Raw genomic sequence first — 15,662 nt, 5'->3', positions numbered from 1 at the left:
GAATTCTCTGTAGCATGTGATACTGTTTACCCATATGGTAGAACTTCTTTCAAAACTGGAGTCAAATCCCATTGTTTAATCAACTAAGTTTATGTAATATTCTAGATCCTTTGCTGTCATTTCAACAATGTCCACAGCATCTTCACCAGGAGATTCCATCACAAAAAACAACTTTCTTTGCGTCAGAGTTATTTCCTCCACTGATGTCTTGAATTCCTCCAAGTCATCCATGAGGGTTACAATCAACTTCTTCCAAACCCCTGTTAATGTTGATATTCTGACATCCTCCCATGAATCACTAATGTTCTTAAAGGAGTCTAGAATGGTAAATCCTTTCCACATGGTTTTCAAATTTCTTTGCCCAGATCCATCAGAAGAATCACTGTGTATGGAGGTTGCAGCCTTAGAAAATGTATTTCTTAAATAACAAGTCTTGAAAGTCAAAATACTCCTTGATCCATGGGCTGCAGAATGGATGCCATGTTGGAAGGCATGAAAACAACATAAATCTTCCTGTATATCTTCATCACAACTCTAGGGTGACTAGGTGCCCTGTCAACAAGCTTATATTTTGAAGGAAAGCTTTTGAGCATTTTTCCCCCTGAGCAGTAGGTCTCAACAGTGGGCTTAAAAATAATAGGTATGGGCCAGGCATGGTGGCTCACACCTGTAATCCCAGCACTTTGGGAGGCCGAGGTGGGTGGATCACCTGAAGTCAGGGGTTCGAGACCAGCCTGGCCAACATGGCAAAACCCCGTCTCTATGAAAAATACAAAATTAGCCAGGCATGGTGACGTGTGCCTGTAGTCCCAGATACTCAGGAGGCTGAGGCAGGGGAATTGCTTGAATCCGGGAGGCGGAGGTTGCAGTGAGCTGAGATTGAGCCACTGCACTCCAGCCTAGGTGACAAGAGTGAAACTGTCTCAAAAAAAAAAAAAAAAAAAAAAAAAAAAAAACAAACTTGGTATGCCATTTTGTAAACAGATGTGATGTCATCTAGGCTTTGTTGTTCCATTTCTAGAGTACAGGCAGAACAGATTTAGCATAATTTTTAAGGGCTCTAGGATTTCAAACATGGTAAATGAGCAGGGGCTTCAGCTTCAAGTCATCAGATACATTAGCCCCTAACAAGAGAGTTAGCCTGTCCTTTTAAGTCAGGCATTGACTTCTCTCTAGCCATGAAAGGCCCAGATGGCATCTCCTTCCAACAGAAGGCTGCTTCATCTACGTTAAAAATTTATTATTTAATGTAGCCACCTTCATCCATTATCTCAGTTTTGGATCTTCTGGATAACTTGCTGCTTTGCCTTGCACTTTAATGTGATAGAGGTGGTTGCTTTCCTTAAACTTCCTGAACCAACCACTGCTAGGTTCAAACTTTTCTTTGGCAGCTGCCTCACCTCTCTCAGGCATCACAGAATTGAATAGAGATAGAACACTTGCTTTGGATTAGGCTTTGGGTTAAGGGAATGTTGTGTCTGGATTGACCTGCTATCCAGACCACTATAACTTTGTATCAGCAATAAGACTGTTTTACTTTCTTATCATTAGTGTTGATTACTGAAGTAGCACTTAACTTTTGACCTATCTTGGCTTTTACCATGCCTTCTTCAATAAGCTTAGTCGTTCCCAGCTTTTGATTTAAAGTGAGACGTACGTGACTCTTCCATCCACTTGAACACTTAGAAGCCACCAGAGAGTTATTAATCGGCCTAATTTCAACATTGTTGTGTTCTTAAAGAATAGGGAGGTCCAGGAGAGGTAGATATCAGGGAACAGCTGGTCAATGGAGTGGTCAGAACACACAAAACATTTATCAATTAAGTTCACTATCTTATTTGGGTGTTCATGGTACCCTGAAACAATTACAATATCAAAGATAACTGACCACCATAACAGATAAATGATGAAAAATTTGACATATTGCAAGAATGACCAAAATGTGACACAGAACATGAAATGACCACATGCTGTTGGAAAAATGACACCAGAAGACTTGCTTGACAGTTACCATGAACTTTTAATTTTTAAAAATGCAGTGTCCACAAACTGTAATCAAATGAGATATGCATGTACAAGACCCCCCCAAACATTGCCTATTATTTTCTCATCAACACAAAATTATTTCCATAAAATATAATATGCTTGTTAAACATGCTTAAAACAAAAATTTTAAGAAAGTTGAGAGGATTACTATTACTTTTTCCTACAATAAAAAATGAGATGGCTAGAAAACACTTAAAGAGTATATAAATAAAATTGAAAAGAAACCTCAGTATTCCTATGCCATTCCCCACCCCTCACTTCTCTTTTGCAACTTACATTTCTTAGAGATATCATTCAGCACAGCTGGTGGGGCCACCTTGTTATCCCATAATTCAGCTGTCAGAGTGCCATGTGACTGTGGGGTCTGGATGGATTTTCCTGAGGCTACATAATCTGTGCCATTAGGTGTTTGAGCTGAAGGCAGCCTAATTGATGGTGGTGGTTGTTTTGAAGACTGAGATGTAGTCTGTAGTGGATTCTGGACTGGTTTGTGGGTCTGTGCCTGAGTCTGGGCTGGGGCAGGTGGGGCAGGATTTGGGGCTGAGACTGGGGTAGGGGCTGGGGCTGGGGCTGAAGCTGAGGCAGGGGCAAGTGGGACTGAGGCAGTTGGGGCTGAGGCTGGGATAGTTGGTGCTGTGATGACTGGGGCAGCTGGGGAAGAGGCTGCTGGGGCTGGCGTTGGAGCTGAAGTTGATGCTAGGGCTGAAGCAAGAATGGGAATTGAGGCTGAGGCAAGAATGGTGACAGAAGCTGGGGTTGAAACTGAGGCAAGGATGGGGGTTGGAGCTGGGGCTGAGGCTGGAGCTGAAGAAGAGGTTATAGCTGCAGCTGAAGTAGAGGCTGGAACTGAAGCTGAGACTGAGGCTGAGGCTGAAACTGGAGCTAAGGGTGAGGCTGGAACTGGAGCTGAGGTTGAGGCCAGAACTGGAGCTAAAGTTGAGGCTGGAACCGGAGCTGAGGTTGAGGCTGGAACTGGAGTTAAGGTTGCCGGAAGTGGAGCTGAGGTTGAGGCTGGAACTGAAGCTGAGGTTGAAGGTGGAAGTGGAGCCGAAGCTAGAGGTGGAACTGAGGCTGAAGACTGTGCTTGCTGGATCCCTGTAGCCTGTTTTTTGGCAAATCTTGGAGGAAGCTTAGAAGTCTGGCTTCTTCCTTTTTCATTTGCATTCTTTTTGTTCCAGACCTTAAAAAATTAACGGGGACCATTTTTGTCAATAATGCAGCTGAATGCAACAGTTCATAAATGCAACTTTTAACAACTCCCACTAACTTGGCTCCTTTACTTTTCAAAATAGGTACTCAAACCACAAAATGTCAGGGTTGCTAATAAGATTTTGAATGATGAGAAGCCAAAATGATATTGAGACAAAAGACAAATAGGTATTGTACATTCTTGACATACAGGTACATAATTCTGAAATTCAAGAACTAAGAAATTTTGCAGTAAATTCACTGGCAGCAAAACTTACCTGAGCTAACAAAATGCTACTCACAGTCTTAACTCATATATTTGCCACAGGCATTAATTTGGGCAGTGTGGCTGGTACGTTATGATATAGGGTAGATGCACAACTATTTTACCTTTCTAAATAAATGACTTCTGAAAATTTGGTTCCAAAGGTTATAGGCAATTAAATGAATAATTTACCTTGATTCATTCTGTGTATTTAAATGAACTAATATAAATTACAATAGATACTTTTGTAGGCCAGGAATCCAAAATCTACTGGTTCGTGATATTTGTGTTCATTAGCTTTCCAAGATAATTTAAAATCAACTCAACTTTGCCTTGGGGCAAATAAGGTGTCCCTAGCATACGATATGTTGTTAAAGTAAAGATGGTCTTGAGGAAGTAGTCGTTGCCATTCCAAGACAGCTGAATAGGAACAGCTCCAGTCTGCAGCTCCCAGTGTGATTGACGCAGAAGACGGGTGATTTCTGCACTTCCAAATGAGATACCTGGTTCATCTCACTGGGACTGGTTGGACAGTGGGTGCAGCCCACGGAGGGTGAGCCAAAGCAGGGCAGGGCATTGCCTCACCCAGGAAGCACAAGGGGTGGGGGGATTTCTCTTTCCTAGCCAAGGGAAGTCATGACAGACTGTACCTGGAAAATCGGGACTCCCGCCCTAATACTGCACTTTTCCAACGGTCTTAGCAAACGGCACACCAGGAGATTATATCCCACGCCTGGCTCGGCAGGTCCCACGCCCATAGAGCCTTGCTCACTGCTAGCGCAGCAGTCCGAGATCAAACTGCAAGGTGGCAGCCTGGCTGGGGGAGTGGTGTCCACCATTGCTGAGGCTTGAGTAGGTAAACAAAGCAACTGGGAAGCTTGAACTGCGGGGAGCCCACCGCAGTTCAATGAGGCCTGCCTGACTCTGTAGACTCTGTATGCTCTGGGGGCAGGGCATAGCTGAACAAAAGGCAGCAGAAACTTCTGCAAACTTAAAAGTCCCTGTCTGACTGCTCTGAAGAGGGCAGTGGTTCTCCCAGCACGGTGTTTGAGCTCTGAGAAGAGACAGACTGCCTCCTCAAGTGGGTCCCTGGCCCTGTGTAGCCTAACTGGGAGACCGAGGCTTCCAGAGGAAGGATCAGGCAGCAATATTTGCTGTTCTGCAATATTTGCTGTTCTGCAGCCTCTGCTGGTGATACCCAGGCAGTGGACCTCCAGCAAATTCCAACAGACCTGCAGCTGAGGGACCTGGCTGTTAGAAGGAAAACTAACAAACAGAAAGGAATAGCATCAACATCAACAAAAAGGACATCCACACCAAAACCCCATCTGTAGGTCACCATCATCAAAGACCAAAGGTAAATAAAACCACAAAGCTGGGGAGAAACCAGAGCAGAAAAGGTGAAAATTCTAAAAACCAGAGCAACTCTTCTCCTCCAAATGACCACAGCTCCTCGCCAGCAACGGAACAAAGCTAGACAGAGAATGACTTTGACAAGTTGATAGAAGTAGGCTTCAGAAGGTTGGTAATAACAAACTTCTCTGAGCTAAAGGAGGACGTTCAAACCCATCACAAGGAAACTAAAAACCTTGAAAAAAGATTAGACGAATGGCTAACTAGAATAAACAGTGTAGAAAAGACCTTAAATGACCTGATGGAGCTGAAAACCATGGCACGAGAGCTACGTGACACATGCCCAAGCTTCAGTAGCCGATTCGATCAAGTGGAAGAAAGTGTATCAGTGACTGAAGATCAAATAAATGAAATGAAGCGAGAAGAGAAGTTTAGAGAAAAAAGAGTAAAAAGAAACGAACAAAGCCTCCAAGAAATATGGGACTATGTGAAAAGACCAAATCTACATTTGATTAGTGTACCTGAAAGTGACGGGGAGAATGGAACCAAGTTGGAAAACATTCTTCCGGATATTATCCAGGAGAACTTCCCCAACCTAGCAAGGCAGGCTAACATTCAAATTCAGGAAACACGGAGAACACCACAAAGATACTCCTCGAGAAGAGTAACCCCAAGACACATAATTGTCAGATTCACCAAGGTTGAAATGAAGGAAAAAATATTAAGCGCAGCCAGAGAGAAAGGTCAGGTTACCCTCAAAGGGAAGCCCATCAGACTAACAGCTGATCTCTCGGCAGAAACTCTATAAGCCAGAAGAGAGTGGGGGCCAATATTCAACATTCTTAAAGAAAAGAATTTTCAACCCAGAATTTCATATGCAGCCAAACTAAGCTTCGTAAGTGAAGGAGAAATAAAATCCTTTACAGACAAGCAAATGCTGAGAGATTTTGTCAACACCAGGCCTGCCTTACAAGAGCTCCTGACACTAAACATGGAAAGCAAGAACCAGTACTAGTCACTGCAAAAACATGCCAAATTGTAAAGACCATCAATGCTAGGAAGAAACTGCATCAATTAACGGGCAAAACAACCAGCTAACATCATAATGACAGGATCAAATTCACACATAACAATATTAACCTTAAATGTAAATGGGCTAAATGCCCCAATTAAAAGACACAGACTGGCAAATTGGATAAAGAGTCAAGACTCATCAATGTGCTGTATTCAGGAGACCCATCTCACGTACAGAGACAGAGATAGGCTCAAAACAAAGGGATGGAGGAAGATCTACTAAGCAAATGGAAAACAAAAAAAGCAGGGGTTGCAATCCTAGTCTCTGATAAAACAGACTTTAAACCAACAAAGATCAAAAGAGACAAAGAAGACCATTACATAACGGTAAAGGGATCAATTCAACAAGAAGAGGTAACTATTCTAAATATATATGCACCCAATACAGGAGCATATATATTCATTTAAGCAACTCCTTAGAGACCTACAAAGAGACTTAGACTCCCACACAATACTAATGGGAGACTTTAACACCCCATTGTCAATATTAGACAGATCAATGAGACAGAAGGTTAACAAGGATATCCAGGACTTGAACTCAGCTCTGCAACAAGCAGACCTAATAGACATCTACAGAACTCTCCACCCCAAATCAACAGAATATACATTCTTCTCACTATCACATCACACTTATTCCAAAACTGACCAAATAGTTGGAAGTAAGCACTCCTCACCAAATGTAAAAGAACAGAAATCACAACAAACTGTCTCTCAGACCACAGTGCAATCAAATTAGAACTCAGGATTAAGAAACTCACTCAAAACCACACAACTACATGGAAACTGAACAACCTGCTCCTAAATGACTACTGGATAAATAACAGAATGAAGGTAGAAATAAAGATGTTCATTGAAACCAAAGAGAACAAAGACACAACATACCAGAATCTCTGGGACACACTTAAAACAGTGTGTAGAGGGAAATTTATAGCACTAAGTGCCCAAAAGAGAAAGCAGGAAAGATCTGAAATTGATACCCTAACATCACAATTAAAACAACTAGAGAAGCAAGAGCAAACACATTCAAAAGCTAGCAGAAGGCAAGAAATAACTAAGATCAGAGCAGAACTGAAGGAGATAGAGACACAAAGAAACCCTTCAAAAAAAAAAATCAATGAATCTAGGAGCTGGTTTTTTGAAAAGATCAATAAAATTGACAGACCGCTAGCAAGACTAATAAAGAAGAAAAGAGAGAAGAATCAAATAGACGCAATAAAAATTGATAAAGGGGATATCACCACCAATCCCACGGAAATACAAACTACCATCACAGAATACTACAAACACCTCTACGCACATAAACTGGAAAATCTAGAAGAAATGGATAAATTCCTCGACACACACACCCTCCCAAGACTAAACCAGGAAGAAGTTGAATCCCTGAATAGACCAGTAACAGGCTCTGAAATTGAGGCAATAATTAACAGCCTACCAACCAAAAAAAGTCCAGGGCCAGACAGATTCAGAGCTGAATTCTACCAGAGGTACAAAGAGGAGCCGGTACCATTCCTTCTGAAACTGTTCCAATCAACAGAAAAAGAGGGAATCCTCCCTAACTCATTTTATGAGGCCAGCATCATCCTGATACCAAAACCTGGCAGACACAATGAAAATAGAGAATTTTAGACCAATATCCCTGATGAACATTGATGCAAAAATCCTCAATAAAATACTGGTCAACCAAATCCAGCAGCACATCAGAAAGCTTATCCACCAAGATCAACTTGGCTTCATCCCTAGGATGCAAGGCTGATTCAACATATGCAAATCAATAAACATTATCCATCACATAAACAGAACCAAAGACAAAAACCACATGATTATCTCAATAGATGCAGAAAAGGCCTTCGACAAAATTCAATAGCACTTCATACTAAAAACTCTCAATAAACTAGGTATCAATGGAACTTGTCTCAAAATAATAAGAGCTACTTATGACAAACCCACAGCCAATATCACACTGAATGGGCAAAAACTGGAAGCATTCTCTTTGAAAACTGGCACAAGACAGGGATGCCCTCTCTTAACACTCCTATTCAGCATAGTGTTGGAAGTTCTGGCTAGGGCAATCAGGGAAGAGAAATAAATAAAGGATATTCAATTAGGAAAAGAGGAAGTCAAATTGTCCCTGTTTGCAGATGACATGACTGTATATTTAGAAAACCCCATCGTCTCAGCCCAAAATCTCCTTAAGCTGATAAACAACTTCAGCAAAGTCTCAGAATATAAAATCAATGTGCAAAAATCACAAGTATTCCTATACACCAATAACAGACAAACAGAGAGCCAAATCATGAGTGAACTCCCATTCACAATTGCTTCAAAGAGAATAAAATACCTAGGAATCCAACTTACAAGGGATGTGAAGGACCTCTTCAAGAAGAACTAGAAACCACTGCTCAACAAAATAAAAGAGAACACAAACAAATGGAAGAACATTCCATGCTCATGGATAGAAAGAATCAGTATCGTAAAAACGGCCATACTGCCCAAGGTAATTTACAGATTCAATGCCATCTCCATCAAGCTACCAATGACTTTCTTCACAGAATTGGAAAAAACTACTTTAAAGTTCATATGGAACCAAAAAAGAGCCCGCATTGCCAAGATAATCCTAAACAAAAAGAACAAAGCTGGAGGCATCATGCTACCTGACTTCAAACTACACTACAAGTCTACAGTAACCAAAACAGCATGGTACTGGTACCAAAACAGAGATACAGACCAATGGAACAGAACAGAGGCCTCAGAAATAACACCACCCATCTACAACCATCTGATTTTTGGCAAACCTGACAAAAACAAGAAATGGAGAAAGGATTCCCTATTTAATAAATGGTGCTGGGAAAACTGGCTAGCCATATGTAGAAAGCTGAAACTGGATCCCTTCCTTACACCTTATACAAAAACTAATTCAAGATGGATTAAAGACTTAAATGTTAGACCTAAAACGATAAAAACCCTAGAAGAAAACCTAGGCCATACCATTCAGGATATAGGCATGGGAAAGGACTTGGTGACTAAAATACCAAAAGCAATGGCAACAAAAGCCAAAACAGACAAAAGGGATCTAATTAAACTAAAGAGCTTCTGCACAGCAAAAGAAACTACCATCAGAGTGAACAGGCAACCTACAGAATGGGAGAAAATTTTTGCAATCTACTCATCTGACAAAGGGCTAATATCCAGAATCTACAATGAACTTAAATTTACAAGAAAAAATCAAACAACCCCATCAAAAAGTGGGCAAAGGATATGAACAGACACTTTTCAAAAGAAGACATATACGCAGCCAGCAGACACATGAAAAAATGATCATCATCACTGGTCAGAGAAATGCAAATCAAAACCACAATAAGATACCATCTCACACCAGTTAGAATGGCAATCATTAAAAAGTCAGGAAACAACAGGTGCTGGAGAGGACGTGGAGAAATAGGAATGCTTTTACACTGCTGGTGGGAGTGTAAACTAGTTCAACCATTGTGGAAGACAGTGTGGTGATTCCTCAAGGATCTAGAACTAGACATACCATTTGCCCCAGCGATCCCATTACTGGGTATATACCCAAAGGATTATAAATCATGCTACTATAAAGACACATGCACACGTATATTTATCGTGGCACTATTCACAATAGCAAAGACTTGGAACCAATCCAAATGTCCATCAATGATAGACTGGATTAAGAAAATGTGGCACATATACACCATGGAATACTATGCAGCCATAAAAAAGGATGAGTTCATGTCCTTTGCAGGGACATGGATGAAGCTGGAAACCATCATTCTGAGCAAACTATTGCAAGGACAGAAAACCAAACACCTCATGTTCTCACTCATAGGTAGGAACTGAACAACGAGAACACTTGCACACAGGGCAGGGAACATCACACACCTGGGCCTGTTGTGGGATGGGGGGAGGGGGGAGGGATAGCATTAGGAGAAATACCTAGTGTAAACGATGAGTTAATGGGTGCAGCACACCAACATAGCACATGTATACATATGTAACAAACCTGCATGTTGTGCACATGTACCCTAGAACTTACAGTATTTAAAAAAAAAAAAAAAGATGGTCTTTGCTGTAAGTCAAAATATAAGGAGCTACAGTCCTTATATTTTATTTAAAATTTCCTTTGATTCTGGTCAAAATGATTAAAAGTTGGGAAGATGATGTCACTTTTAACACTTGAATAATGAAAACAGCCTTGACAAGTATAAAAACCTTGAACATTTGCTGATACACTTTGGGCAACAAATCTAGATAACTAGCAACAAGTTGAAACAAGATTTAAACCTGTATGACTTGTTCTTCCTTCTTTCGGCGTTCTTCATCCTGTAAACGTTTTTGTTGTTTTTTGGATACCACTTCAGTAAAACCATCATCATTCAAATTTGACTGGGGATCTTCAATTACTGTTACTTCAGGATGATCATCAATTATAACAACACCTGTGGGTGTGGGAAAGGATTTAAGATATTTTCTGTTTTTCAAATGAAAATTAATAAAAATGTTTAGTACAGTAGTACTTAAAAAAAAAAAAAAAACTAGCCAAAGGCCTAGTTCCTATAACTTATAGTGTATAACCTATTTCTCACCCTATTGCATGGCCATTCATTGTAAAGATCTGAAAAGATTTCATACTCTTAAAGTTGAAAATAAAAATCCTAAAACTGGCCAGGTGCAGTGGCTCACGTCTGTAATCCCAGCACTTTTGGAGGCCGAGATGGGCATACTGCTTGAGGCCGGAAGTTTGAGACCAGCCTGGCCAACATGGCAAAACTCTGTCTCTACTAAAAATACAAAAATTAGATGTGTGTGGTGGTATATACCTGTAGTCCCAGATACTCAGGAGGCTGAAGCACAAGAATCACTTGAACCTGGGAGGTGGAAGTTGCAATGAGCTGAGACCGTGCCACTGCATTCCAGCCTGGGTGACAGAGTGCGACTCTGTCCAAAAAATCCTAAAAATACCTGTTTTGAATGATATAGGTCTTTTTTCTTTTCCTTAAGTAATATAGAAGTAATGCCTTAAAAAAGAAAAAAAATCAAAATTATCCTATGACCTAACCTCCATCTCTTAGCCTCAGACTGTATAGTGCTTTAAAAGATCTACAAAGCATTCTACCTCATTTGCATCTAACCATTCTAAGAGGTGGCTGTTACTATTATTTCTCCTTTTCAAAAAATGAAATAAATTGGCTTAGTGCTGTGGCACATGCCTGTAGTATCAGCATAATGGGAGGCCAAAGTGGGAGGACCATTTCAGGCCAACAGTTTCACACCAGCCTGGGCAACATGGGGAGACCTTGTCTCTACTTTAAAAACAAACACATAAATAAATAAATAATGTTTTAAAAAATGAAATAAACTGATTTGTTTAAGGTAAGATGACCAGCCTAGCTGGTCTTATGACTCTTAATGTCTCTGTTTTATGTAGACCCTTGTCTACAGTGTGGAGTTGTTAAAAATAAATATATGTTATGGGCAACACAGTGAAACCCTGTCTCTACAAAAAATGCAAAAATTAGCTGGCGCATGCCTGTGGTCCCAGCTACTTGGCAGGCTGAGGTAGGAGAATCACTTCAGTTGGGGAGGTTGAGACTGCAATGAGCTGAGATCAAGCCACTGCACTCCAGCCTGGGAGAGCAAGACCCTGTCTCAATAAATAAAGAAATGAATAAGTTAATTAATTAAAATAAATGTGTAAGCTGTGTGTGAATGTAAGATGGCATAGGTGAACACATACCAGAATCATCTAGGTGATGAACAACTCAAGATCATTTTTTAACTTATTTTCCAACTAACCAATTATTTTGGCTATCTTAAAATTACCCTATATCCCAGTCAGTATGTGAAATATAAATCCATCAAATAATATTTCCAAGAAAAATTAAATTACCTCAGGTGATGTAATTTTTTATTATAGGTATAATGTCTGAATAATAAGTATCAAGAAAGAGTGAAGCAATTTAAAGAAATTATTTAATTTTCAAACAATATACCATGTTTTAATTGGAAATTACATATACAATAAAAATATTTTTCTTGGAAACGATAAGTATACAATTCAGGATGGTGATAACTTGTTAGGTACAGCAACAAGGGAAGGTGATACTTGTTAGCTATGGCAACATAGGTATGATCAAGGAAGTGGTCACAGAGAAACTATCTACAAACATTTCTTCTAAAATAGTTAAAACTTAGCATTAACATACTCTGAGAGATGAAATGAAAAATGAATACTGGCTTTCACTCCTTAGAAACTGGCTGGGCATGGTGGTTCACACCTGTAATCCCAGCACTTTGGGAGGCCAAGGAAGGCGGATAACATGAGGTCAGGAGTTCCTGACTAGCCTGGCTAACATGGTAAAAAACCCTCTCTCTACTAAAAATACAAAAAATTAGCTGGGAATAGTGGTGCGCGCCTGTAGTCCCACCTATTCAGAAGGTTGAGGTAGGAGAATCGCTTGAACCTGGGAGGCAGAGGTTGCAGTGAGCCGAGATCACGCCACTGTACTCCAGCTTGGGTGACAGGGCGAGACATTACCATTATTCCATTTTTCTAATAGAAACTTGATTTCAGCCAGGCACGGTGGCTCATGCCTTTAATCCCAGCACTTTGGGAGGCCAAGGTGGGCGGATCACTTGAAGTCAGGAGTTTGAGAGCTGCCTGGCCAACATGGCGAAACCCTCTACTAAAGTCGCTACTAAAAATACAAAAAATTAGCTGGGCATGGTGGCATGTGCCTGTAATCCTAACTATTAAGGAGGCTGAGGCAGGAGAATCACTTGAACCGAGGAGGTAGAGGTTGCAGTGAGCTGAGATTACACCACCGCCTTCCAGCCTGGGGGACAGAGCAAGACTGTGTCTCAAAAAAAAAAAAAAACAAAAAAAAAAAAGAAGGGAAACTTGATTTCAAAAGAAAAAAACCCAGTTTATTCTGATTTATAAAACACTTCTACTTGTTTTTAAAATCCTTTTAAAAATCATTAACTCTGTAAAATGAAGCATATTCTCATTTCCATGAAAGGTCTAAGTCAAACATTTCAAAGGATGTCATGCACACATTACTTCAGACTGATGGAAAGACCTCATCATAATTCTAATTTCATCTCAGTTTTTCACTTACACTAAAATGTGTGTGTGTAAAGCCTATCTTATTATTTCAACTTCCTTAGTTCACCCAACTACATGTAGCATTTATGGAAAATTCGAACACTACTTTTTAGTTTCCAATGTCCTCTTCTTTTTAACATTTTAGGTTAGAGATATTACTTAAAAACAGTGTTACCAGGAAAAAGAACTAAAGACGACTAACTCTTAAAGATAACTTTAATGAGTTGAAATGAATAGCTTAATTTCTATCACCACTTCAGAAATATATATAGTTTTTATCTGTTTTTACTGTCTTTTTTGTTTTGTTTTGTTTTTACAGGCATGCACCACCATGCCTGGCTAATTTTGTATTTTTAGAGACAAGGTTTCTCCATGTTGGTCAGGCTGGTCTCAAACTCCCAACCTCAGGTGATCCGCCCACCTCAGCCTCCCAAAGTGCTGGGATGACAGGCCTGGGCCACTGCCCTGGGCCTATTATGTCTTAATATAGCAATATTATGGCTGGGCGTGGTGGCTCATGCCCGTAATCCCAGCACTTTGGGAGGCCAAGGTGGGTGGATGGCTTAAGCTCAGGAGTTCCGGACCGACCTGGACAACATGGCGAAAACCCATTTCTACAAACAAAAATAATAATAATAATAATAATAAATTAGCTGGGCATGGTGGCTCATGCTTGTACTCCCAGCTACTCGGGAAGCTGAGGCTGGGGAATCGCTTGACGTCTGGGATGCAGATGTTGCAGTGAGCCGAGATTGCATCACTGTACACCAGCCTGGGCAACAGAGTAAGTCTCTGTCTCAAAACAAACAAACAAACAAACAAATGAAGAATTTGCATTGCTCACAAATTTCCAGGTAATGCTGATGATGTGGGGACCACACTTTGAGAACCACTGGTCAAAAAATAATGTCCATGAGCTGTGCTCAAATCAGAGCTTAATATGTACAAATAACAATTAGGCAGATGAAAGAAAAACCTCATCTATATCTCTTATACTAGAATAACTGCAACTAACCCAACTTTCCTATTACTACTATTATTACCACTATTGAGCTATCTGGTCTTAACTTAGTAAATCTCTCAATTTTATTCAGTATTTCCAGTTTCATCCAAATGAATGGCAAATAGTACATTTTACATGTACAATGTCTATACACAGATATTCCTTGTCTGTTTTTTCTTCATCCAATATTTTCTTGTTGCTTGTATTATCCTTCATATTTGATCCTCTATTACTTCATGGCTTTCCTATTTATCCACAGTGACACTGCCTCTCGTCCTATTATTTATTCTGTATTTGCCACATCTTAGACACCAATTTTACCAAGGACATAATTATTGAGTTTAACATTTAGTTCCTTTTGTTTTTAATAATACATCTATACCAATATAACTAAGAATCAAATTTCTGTGCTTTCTCAAATCTGGCAAAGTAGAGTGGTTACTGAATTTTCTTCCTCTTTTTTGGAAGAACAGTGCAATGCTGTTGGATTATTTTTAACAAAAATTTTATTAAGCATTCAAGGCTACGCTAAAAGCTGGAGTTATTTTAGTTTAAGTTCAATCAGTTAGTGTTTCATAATCAGCCACTATGTATACCTTGAATGTCCAAATCTTTCCTTCTTGGAAAACTTCTTTAATTGTGGCATCTACATTTTAAAATGTAGCAAATAAATAAATAAATAAATAAATAAATAAATAAATAAAATGAAAGAAACCTAAGACATACTTGCATAATTGTTGAGATCAAACTGTGATAGAGCATCCACTTTCTCTTTTGGTTTTTTAGGGCCTGGTTTGGGGTCTTCTCTTTTTTTCCCAGTAGAATCTTTGGAGTTCTTTTGTCCTGTACCATTAGGTACTCCTTCCTGATGGTGTGCAGAGCTGCCATTGATGAGGTCAACCCCAGTTGTGCCTGCAGGCTGGTCATCAAATGGCCTACAAAAAAATAACTTGAGATATTACTATTTCCACCTACCCAAACAAAAGAAAAATGCTCTTATTGGCAGTTTCTAAAGTTCATTCTAAGATGAAACACTGTTGGGATAGAAAACTCTTAACTGTAACCAAACAAGCATTAGTAACTTTTGTTCAGCACAACCTTACTAAAACCGGGTTTCCCAAGAAAGTAGACTAGCTCCCTAGAGTTCTTTCCAGCAATTAAATTCTAGAATTCTAGTTATACCAGAAGTTCTTAGAGTCTATTTGTCTATCATATTATAAATGAGCTAATTAACACTGTTTATAGCAGAAAATTTCTGTGATCCAAGCAAGTTCAAAGTATTCACAAATGGATGCTCTCCAAAAGTGGGCAGCATATGAAAACAAAAATTTTTAAAAAGCATTCTATATTTACAACTATGTACATTTAAAAAAATGTAATCAGATTTACACATTGATATAATTATTTAAAAAACTTTAATATGGAAATAATTCACTTCACAAACCAAATGTATCCCCTACAGTTCTTAATAGTTCTTATTTCCTAAAAGAATAATTTCAGGTTGTTTTTTTAAATTTCCAAGTGAAAATGATCATGGGAAATGGGTTTACTAATTCATTTGCATCTTAGCCTATAGTATTACTCAAGATAAAAGCTTACCAGGTCCCTGG

The 15,662-nt window shown here is 39.5% G+C and overlaps 1 protein-coding gene across 18 annotated transcripts in view; it reads right to left on the bottom strand.

The window, feature by feature from the left end:
- PRRC2C (proline rich coiled-coil 2C) overlaps positions 1 to 15,662 on the bottom strand; it is a 107,982-nt gene that overhangs the window by 33,046 nt on the left and 59,274 nt on the right. For all 18 annotated transcript variants that reach the window (XM_005245020.3, XM_005245015.3, XM_005245025.3 and 15 more), the window contains exons 17-19: positions 14,779 to 14,987; positions 10,226 to 10,380; positions 2,323 to 3,226 (exon numbers count right to left, since the gene is read on the bottom strand). In XM_005245020.3, the coding sequence (XP_005245077.1) occupies positions 2,323 to 3,226; positions 10,226 to 10,380; positions 14,779 to 14,987 (1,268 nt within the window). The remainder of the gene's footprint in view (positions 1 to 2,322; positions 3,227 to 10,225; positions 10,381 to 14,778; positions 14,988 to 15,662) is intronic.

The sequence above is a fragment of the Homo sapiens genome, chromosome 1 (assembly GCF_000001405.40).
Source record: "Homo sapiens chromosome 1, GRCh38.p14 Primary Assembly".
Lineage (NCBI taxonomy): Eukaryota > Metazoa > Chordata > Mammalia > Primates > Hominidae > Homo > Homo sapiens.
Note: the sequence above shows the minus strand (reverse complement) of the source record. Positions and strands in the feature narration are given on the sequence as shown.